Here is a 10,690-nt window from a genome sequence, read left to right as displayed (position 1 = left end):
CAAATGGGGTGGGGAAAGGAGCAAAGACAGAGAGAGGTAGAGGTGATCCCTGGAGGGCCTGCTGTTTTCTGTTCTCTTCGCTGTTCTTTCTTGTTCCACATGTTTCTTTATTTCACCCCACAGTTAACCTCAGAAACCTGGTAATCCATATGATCCCACAGCTATGCCTCATGGCCCAAAGGGCAGGATTTCATCTCCACCGTCCTTTTCTTCAACGTGAAGGGCTGTTGAGTGAGTACCCTTAGGGCACAATACTGGGGAAGTGTAAAATTATCATCTTCCAAATGGGAAGCTGCTGGGGGTGGGGGGCAAGAGATGGAACCTCATTGCCATTCTGCCACTTATCTGTAGAGGATCTTAGTCTCTGTGAGCCAGAGCTTGATAATCTGTGAGATGGGACTCACCATATTTTCTTCACACTGCTCTCCTGATGGGTAAATGGAATAAACTATATATTTTTATACTACTATCTTAGTCCGTTTAGTATTGTTAAAAAGGAATATCTGAGGCTGCATAACTTATAAAGAAAAAAAACAAAACAAAACATAATAAAATTGTTATGTGGCTAACAATTTTGATGGTTGGAAAGTTCAAGATTAGGCATCTGCTTCTGATGAGGTTCTCAGGAAGCTACCACTCACGACGGAAGGCCAAGGGGAGCTGGCTTGTGCAGAGATCATATGGCAGGAGAGGGGAAAGAGATGGGAGGTGCTGGGCTCTTTTCAACAACAAGCTCTTGTGGGAACTAATAGAGCAAGCACTCACTCATCACAGCAAGGTTGGCACCAAGACTTTCATGAAGGATCTACCCCCATGACCCAAACACTTCCTGTTAGGCTCCACCTCCAACACTGGGGACCAAATTTCAACATGAGGTTTGGAGGAGACAAACATCCAAACCGTAGCAAACACTTATTGAAATTTTTTCTTCTAAAAATATTGTTTCTGAGATGTCTCTAATAAGGTGACTTTGGGGCTGTTTTGATATTTTGGCCATGCTGCCATGACCATTCTTGCACCCGTGCCAGAGACTCTCTGCAGTGCAGACCTGAGAGGGCAGCAGTTGATGGGGCTATGCTTGCTTCTCTCATATATGTTGCCGAGTATATCTGCAAATATACTCTGTACCGTTTTGTCCTCCTGCAGCAGTGTATAGGATTTTTATGACTCCACAATTTCAATGTAAACAGGACACAGCATAGATACAAACTCACTTTTCAGGTTTTCTCATCAAACTCTAGAATTATTCCAGGACATATTCTGAGGCATAAAGTAGGACTGTTATGTTTGTGTTTAGAAATGCACATGTGAAATATGCCATTTATGTGGATATCAATGGAGAAAAATGAAAAGTATTTTAACATTATAGTGATAGGATATAAAAGTAGCAAATATTAATAAAGTTGGGAAACCCATTATTGCACAAATCTAGAGAAACAGGTGCTCTCATCTTGTAGTTGGTTGGGATATTCATTAGTAAAGAGATTTTAACTTTCAACTAGACAGTATATACTAAAAATAGTCATGCTCTTTGACCAAAAATAATCATTTGTGGAAACATATCCTCCAGATACAGCCTGGGAGGCCCCTGTCATTATCACTCATGTGTCCCTACTGCTGAGGGCTGAGCTGACCATTTCCCTAGCTGGTTTGTTACCTTCAGCCCCAGCCCCATTCCTGACCCTGAGCTATCTATCCTTCCAACCAAACAGGAGAATCTGTCTCATGGCTGAATGCCCAGCCTTGATGAACCATATACGGAGCTTCTCCGCATTGACATGGAGCAATGCTCAGGTCCCTACTCCTGGAGGGACCTGTAGACCTCTGACCTCATCCCTGCATTGGAGAAATCTCTCTTCTTCTCCCTTCTCTGTGTCCTCAGGACCCTTCCCCTCCCTGCCAAGTACAAGCAGTCCAATCCTTTCCTTAAGTTTAAGTTTTCACACAGGATGAAGCAAACACTGGCTTCAGACAGCTTCTGCTTCTAGCCCTGCTATAAACCTTCCCTGAGACAGGGGGAAAGAGGCCCAAGTCTTTTTTTTGTTGTTGTTCTGGAAATGCAGGGAGGGTGATATGGTTTGGCTTTGGGTCCCCACCCAAGTCTCATCTTGAATTGTAATCCCCAGGTGTTGAGGGAGGAATGTGGTGGGAGGTGATTGGATCATGGGAGTGGTTCCCCCATGCTGTTCTCATGATAGTGAGTGAGTTCTCACAAGAGCTGATGGTTTTATAAGTGTTTGGCACTTTCCTCTTCACACTCTATCTTTTCTTGCCGCCTTGTGAAGAAGGTACTTGCTTCTCCTTCACATATCTCCATGATTGTAAGTTTCCTGAGCTCCCCCACACACGCCCACCCAGCCATGTGTAACTGTGAGTTAATTAAACCTCTTTCCTTTAAATTACCTAGTCTCAGGGAAGTTCTTCATAGCAGTGTGAAAACGGACTAATACAGAGGGTAAACACAAGGAGAACAGATATTAAGCTCCTTAACAATATATGTCCTGATGCTAAAGATCTGCCACCAGCAACTCAAGGTGCCTAGGCTGGCAAGTTCTGGTAGTGGACCTGCTGAGCAACCTCTTTGCCATCCAGCTCTGTGGTTAGGAGCATGTGCTTTGTAGTCACAGACATCCGTGAAGAAGAGAGGATACTGGTACCTCACTAGCAGGGCTGTCATGAGATCTAATCCAGACACTAACATAAAGAACCTGGAGCTGGGCCCCTCTAAACACTCTGCTCCATGAGTAGAAGCTATCTTTCCTCTTTGGAGCAGGAAATTCATATGTCAATTTGACCTGCCCCTGCGACCAGGGCCCCTTAACCAGCATGCACATCAGAGTCGCCTTGATGAGCCTTTTCTAAACCCTCAGCTGAAACCCCCTTGTTGGTAGAAATAGGACTTCTGTACAAAGGCCATTCAAGTCATTCGGCTGTAATAATATGGGCCTCAGAAAATGGATACCTCGATGTGGCACCAATAGTGTATATGAAAGTCTGTTTCTCCTTTATTTCACCAACACTAGGTATTACCAGCTTTTGTCTTTTTTTTTTTTTAATCTGATCTGCTCATTGTCCCATGACCTGCCCTGACTTATTGGGAAGGTCATCTCAGATGGTCACTAAACTTACATATTTAGAGGCTCTTCTCCTAAGGTTTCCAGATTTAGCAAATAAAAATACAAAATGCCCAGTTGTATTCAAATAAAAAATTGCATGTCACATCCAGAGAAACAGAACCAATCTAATGTGTATACACACACACACACACACACACACACACACGTATATGGTGAGAGAGAGATTAATTTTCAAGAACTGGCTCACATGACTATGGAGGCTGAAAGTCCAAAATCTGCAGAGTGGGCTGGCAGACTGGAGACTAGAGAATATCCAGTGTTACAGTTCAAGTCTGAAGGCTATCCGCTAGTAGAATTTTTTTTTTGCTTAGAAGAGCTAAGATTTTTGCTCTATTCAGGCCTCCATCTGATTGGATGAGGCCCACCCACATTATAGAGGGCAATCTGCTTTTCCCAAAGTCCACCAATTTAAATGTTGATCTTATCCAAAAACACCCTTGCAGGAATGTGCAGAATAATGTTGAGATACTTGAACAATGTGGCCCAGCCAAGTTGACACATAAAGTCACCATCACATTTACACTAAAAAATTATTCATTGTTTATCTGGAATTCAAATTTGACTGAGTGTATTCTGTTTTTTCTGACAGCCCTACTCACAGAGGGCTCTGTGTTGAACCAAGGTGCTTCATGCAACAGTCCCAGCTGAGCTCCCAGCAGATGCCAGCACCATTCGCTATCCATGTGAGTGAGCTCTCTTGGATGTCCCAGGCAAGTGTAGCGTGCTGATGACTGCAGCCCCAGGTGACAGACACCACACAGAATAGAAAACACCCAGCAAAGCCCAGTCAATTCATAGAATCCCGAGAGATAATAAATAGCTATTGTTTGGGGACATTTTGTTAAGCACAAGTGGTTATCTAAAACATTATGGTTTTGGTGACCTTTTCTTCATTTTCTGTGATCTGTTCTCAGATCACAGATTGTGAAGGCTTGGCAGGGGGCTTTGTTATAATTTTCACTATAGTCTACGTGTTAGTTTATGTGTGGGTATATATTTCTGAACATCCCATTAATTCCTTCTTGATGGGATTTTCAAGGGAAGTTTTCATAAAATATGCTTTTCTATCTATTCTTGCAATTTAGAACATAATTCCAATCTCTCTCTATAGGATAAGCCTCTGATGCAATCACTTGTGTTAAGAAATTGAGAGAATGTTGATATAAACTGCTCCCTGAGCCATATGGAAAGCTGTATCTTCTGCAGGTTGCTTGGTGAGTATGCAAGGAGTACAAGGTATATTTATTCACTTTGAGAAGTGTTTCTCTAAGAAGGTATCCTGAAATATTTTCTCCTGCTACAGGGATAGCCCTTAACAAGGAAGTCACTTTCCTTGGGCACACATAGACAGGGCTCCTTCAGCAGACAGCAGATAGATATGCAATGCAGGCCTTGTTTTTTTGTGATGGTCCCAATGTATCACTGGATAAGTCTGTCCAATTCTGGGGTTTGTTCATAGGAAACCCATGTGCCACCAAATCTATGTCACATTCTCCAGTATCACCTTTATAAGGAATAAAGTCAATTTATTGTTCTTCTTATTCTTTTGTGGTATTTCTCAGTTGGTATACAACTCAGACTTGGAACTGGAGGGCATTTTTGGGGGCCCCTTAAAGATCCAAGCATTGTGAAGCAAGACTATAGGAATAGTTGGGGAGCCAGCGAGACACAGGAGAGTAGAGCTGTGGACCTATTGTAAGCCCCACCCCTGAGGGCAGAGCAGAACATATGCTTGGTTAAGTGAAGATTACAACCAAGAGTTTTGAAGGGAGAGGACCTGGGCTGTGCAACCTGTTTCTCCTTCCAAACCCACCAACTAGATGAGACATTCCTGCGATAGAGGAGTGAGCGTATCAAGAGGCTAGAAGTGTTTTGGGTATCGATGTCTCTCCACATGGAAGAAAATATTAAGAATGGTGGATAAGAATTCCCCAAAATGAGCCAATGTATGTTTCAATTGACTAGATTTCTGCCTACTAAATGATTACATTATTATAGGCCTGCCTCCCTGAAATAACTGAGATATCTTAAATGACATTTCTTGGTGTTCCTACATCATTTACACACATGATTATAGACAGTCTCTTAGTCTTCTGCCACAGATAGCTAACTGCTTAGTGTGTTGTGTAAGTTTTACACATCATCCTCAGAAGGTTAGCTCATCACCAGGAGCCCCTAGGATACCTCCCTGCAGCTCTGTGTAGTGATGATACTCAACTACTGTCACTTTTAAAGCAGACAATATTCCTGCCAATGGGGAGATGCTTTGTTTCACCAAGCTGGGCAGAATTCCACAAATCACCCTTGTCTGAGGCTAGTTCCACTAATTAGTAAGCTTTCTCAGGAGGTAGCCTGAAGAGTGGAAGAGTGAAGTTTTTATTTATTTATTTATTTATTTATTTATTTATTTATTTATTTATTTATTTATTTGAGAAAGGCAAGGGGACAGAGGGCTGTGCAGAAGCATTTCTGATGTGGAGGACAAGCCTGAGCACCACGGTTGCCATAGAAACCAGAAGTCATTACTGTGACCTTGATGACTTTTAATAGAGACCCCTGTGGGCTGGTGAGAATAGCAGGGTCCCGCCTTCAGGTGTTTGGGACTCAACTGAGGGTGTGAGTGCCCCACAGTGGGGGCTGAAGTGCCTTGGGATGTGGGGAGACGAAGGGATCCCAGATCTAAGTCCCCTCACTCCCAGTTTGAAACAAGTTGCTCTCACTGTTTCATGAGGGAGAGAGCTAGGACCCTCCTGGCCCCAGTGAGTGGGGTGTCCTGCTCCTGGTGTCCTGGAGCTACTTTCTATGTAAAGGTGGGACGTGGGAGGATGAGACAAGTAAGGACTCTCTGAGCCCAGTGTCCCCCTCTGTAAAATGGGGATAATTATGCCAACCCGCAGGATTGCTGCAAGCTGCAGTGATAACACAGGTGCAAGCCCATAGCCCTGTGGTTACTGCACGATCAGGAATGCCTGTGTGAATTCAGGCCTCTTCTTAGTCCTTTACAGATTTGTTGTTAGGAGATAGAGGAGGAAAGGAGGAGAAAAAGGCCCTGGTGAGAAACCCATTGTATCTTCTGGTTGTAATGATCACTACCCAATTGTATCAGTGTCACTGGTCACTGACCCAGTGCCTAAGATGGTTCCTGGCACACTGTTACTCTAAGAAAGCACAGTGATTGCTGGATTCTCTCTGTCCCTGTGCAGATCTTCATCAGGTTATTGAACTCATAACAGGTGTATGAAGGAGATGGGCTTTGAGGATCTGGGTCGTGATGGCTGCTGAAGCTTCTACTTCAGATTTGAAGGGCAGCAGTCCTAAGGAGACCCCCAACACTTCCATCCCTGGTGGGATATGATGCCTGGCTCAAGTGAGCTCATAGATCTGGACAGAAGCATGTTGTGGAATACCTCTGTGAGGTTTATAATATAGTCTAAAAGCAGAGAAACTCCTTTGATCCCATCTTTGGAGAAGAGGTTTAGCATGTGGAATTTCCTTTCATCAGCAGCTATGTGCTTTGAAGCCGCCCTTGAGGCCCATGTTTAAAATGCCTTTCGTTGTTACAAAGCAATGAATAATTCATTTGGGGAATCAACTTGATGTTTAACATGTATTTGAAATAAATTTACATATGTTTTCTGCCTGTATAAATAATGATCAGTGATTCCCATGTATCTCTCAGATGGGCATTGAAATACACAGTTGGTCAGAAGGTCTTCCAAGCAACTGGAGATTGTAATATGCATTTTTCAATGGTAACCATGTTATTATCCATTCTGTAATACATTTTTTAAGAAGGCAAAAATGTACAAAGTATTAGTTAAAACTGTCAAAATGTCAGATACAAAAGTTCAATATTTTGAAAAATAATAATTTCCATATAATTTGCTCTATTATAATGATACCCAGTCATGTCCCCTAAAATAACCAGCTAGGCCTAAATATTATTATCATTGTTTCCCAGAACATAAGATTTTCAGTTCTGTACTACTAGGACTCTCTATCCCTCCTATTGCCCTGTCCCCAGACAAACACAATACTTTGTCACTATAGATTAAGTTTTATGTCCTAGACATTTATTTAAATGGAATTGTAGAAATGTTTTTCTGCGTTTGTTTTTGATTTTTGGTTTGGCTTCTTTCATTCACCCAATTTATTTTTAGATGTATCCATTTTGTTGCACATATCAATAGTTCATTCTTTTTTATTGCTGAATAGTATTCCAGTATATGGCTATATCATAAATTTTTTATCCATTCACCTGTTGTTGGATATTTTAATTATTTCCAATTAGGATCTCTTGTAAACAAAGCTTCTATGAATATTTGTGAATAAGTCTTTCCATGGAAATAGGCTTTCTTTCTCTAATAAATACTTAGGAGTGCAATGGCTGGATCATGTGGTAGATGTAAGATTAACATTGTAAGAAACTGCCTGTTTCCAAGTGTTTGTACCATTTTTCATTACCACCAGTAATGTATCACTGTTTCATCCTCCACAACCTCGACAGAGCTTGGTATAATCTGTCTTTTTAATTTTTTTAATTCTCACAGGAGTTTAGTAGGATCTCATTGAAATTTTCATTTACATTTCCCTTATAACGAGTGATGCTGAGCATCATTTCCTGTGCTTACATGATATTTGTATGTCTTCTTTAGTGGAATGTCTATTCAAATATTTTGCCTGTTTCTTTACTGGTGTGTGTTTTCTTCTTACTAAGATTTTAAACATATTCTGGATACAAGTCCTTTATTAAATATATAATTTTCAAACATTTTACCCCGGTCAGCAGCTTACTTGTCTATTTTTTCAACCATGTAGTTGGAAAGCTAAAGTTTTTAACTTTGAGGAAGTCCAATTTTTCAATTTCTTTGCTTATAGATTGTGGTTTTGTTGTCTCATCTATGAAATCTTCACCTGACCCATTGTCAAAAAGATTTTCTCCTGTTTTTTTTTTTTCTGCTAGAAGTTTTATAGCATCAAATTTTATATTTAGATCTCAGGTCCATTTTGAATAGACTTTTGTATATAGTGTGATATCTGAGTCACAGTTTATATTTGTGCATGTCAATATTCACTTGTCCCAGCACCATTTGTTGAAACAATAATCCTTTCTCCACTGAATCACCATTGCATCTTTGTCAAACTCAGTTGTCCATATACTTGTGGGTCTATAGCTGGACTCTTTATTCTGTTCCTTTGATCTACTAATCCATCTTGATGCCAATAGCACACTGTCTGGATTACTGTATGTTTGTAAGGAGTCTTGAAATCAGGTAGTGTTTGTCTTCTAATTTTGTTCTTTATCAAAGTTGTACTTCATAGTTGATATGGTTTGGAACTGTGTCCCTACCCAAATCTCATGTCAAATTGTAATCCCCAATGTTGGATATGAGGACTGGTGGGAGGTGATTGGATCGTGAGAGTGGATTTCTCCCTTTGGTTCTGTTCTCATAATAGAATTCTCATAAGATCTGGTTGTTTACAAGTGTGTAGCACCTTCCCTGCCATGTAAAACGCCTGCTTCCGCTTTACCTTTCGCCATGAGTTAAAGCTCCCTGAGGCCTCTCCAGAAGCAGATGCCTCTATGGTTCCTATATAGCCTGCAGAACCGTAAGCCATGAAAACCCCTTTTTTAAAATAAATCACCCAGTTTCATGTGTTTGTTTTTAGCAATATGGGAACAGACTAATAGAGTCTAGGTCTTTTACATGTCCATATGAATGTTAGAATCAGCCTGTCGGTTTCTTTAAAAATTTTTTAATAGGATTTCCATTTGAATTGCTCTGAATCTATAGATCAGTTTTGGAAGAATTGACATCTTAACAATACTGAATCTTCTCAGTATTGTTTGTGACCCATGAGCATGGTAAGTCCTCCACTTATTTAGGTCTTTAATTCTCTCAGCAATGATGTGTGGTGTTCAGTGTACAGGCACTGCACATCTGTGGACAGATTGTTCATAAATATTTCATACTCTTGATGATGCTATACATGGCTTTGTTTGTTAAACACAATTGCTAATTACTATATTTTCACAGTACTATCAGCAACCAAGTGTTTAACATCAGTGAGGCATTTTTTTGGTTGAAAGCACAGCTTACTCTAGGATGGAAAAGGTATTTGATCCTTAACCTGTGTTTACCTGTATTTCCGTATCTGCTTTTACAAGTCATTGGCGATATATTGAAACTATGGAGGAAAATGTTCCAGAGACAATTCTACAGGTCATCTTCAGAAATCACACCAAAAGAACATAGTTTAGTAGCTTTCAACTTTATATGTGTGGTCAGAAATGATTTTGTTGCAATGTGTGGCTCAGGCTGGAGTGCAATGGTGCAATCATAGCTCACTGCAGCCTTGAACTCCCAGGCTCAAGCAATCCTCTCACCTCAGCCTCCTGAATAACTGACTACAGGTGTGTGCCCCCATGCTCAGCTAAACTTAAAAACATTTTTCAGAGACAGAGTTTTGCTATGTTGTTTAGACTTCTCTCACACTCCTAACCTCAAGCAATCCTCCTACCTCAGCCATCTGAGTAGCTGGGATTATAGCCACGAGCCACCATGCCTGGCGAGATTTACTTCTTTACCCACCAGTAAATCAACCTCAATAAATTCTTGGAATTTGGAGTGGTGAGAGGGTGAGCAAGCATATATGTATGTGAGTATGTATACATTTGTATGTCACTGAAGCTGTCAGGAATTTTTATTGTAAGGACTACTTGAGGTTAATTACTGTGCATCATGTCAATCCTATTTAGTTCCTAGTACATATTAGGAACAAGCTCGGGATAGTGGTGTTTGTTTTTTCTCAGCTTTCCTTGGCCAGAATGGTTACCATGGTGACTCAGTGACTGCGGTGTGATTTGGTGCAGACTGAGCATCCATTTAGGATTCTTGCCCGAATCTCTCACACCACATTGCCTGTCCATCAGATATAGTATTAGCTTTTCATCTTATGTGTAATTAATCACTTTTCAAGGGCTCAGAAGAAAGTTGCTTCACTTATCTGAGGTTAAGCTACAGATAACATAAAAAGACACTAAGTACCTTGAAATAAAAGGAAATGAGTTGTTGATATTCCTCTCCTGCCCCAATCTCTATTGGGAGGTTAGAAGAGAAATTCTTGGAATCATACAGCATGTGCTCTTTTGTGTCTTGCTTCTTTCAGTCAACATAATGTATGTGAAATTAATATTTATTGTGGTCTATATTGTAGATTGCTTATTCTCATTGGTGTAAAGTATTATATTATTTGGATATTTCACACTATATTTATCTGTGATGGAGATTTGTGTATTTTCCAGTTTTTGACATCTCATGAATAATGGTGTTATGAATGTTCATGTTCATTCTTTTGGATGAACATATATTTTCTTTTTTAAAAAAATCTTATTATCAATAATATTTGAACTATTTAATATCTGTCATCTTAAAATTATTATTCATAACACTTTTTACCTTGTAGCTATAGACAAATACATTCCCATTTTAGCAGGTTAATGAAATTATCTTTATAATACTATAGAAGCATTTATTTGAAGAATACCAGAA

Source organism: Homo sapiens, chromosome X (genome assembly GCF_000001405.40).
Source record: "Homo sapiens chromosome X, GRCh38.p14 Primary Assembly".
Lineage (NCBI taxonomy): Eukaryota > Metazoa > Chordata > Mammalia > Primates > Hominidae > Homo > Homo sapiens.
Note: the sequence above shows the minus strand (reverse complement) of the source record.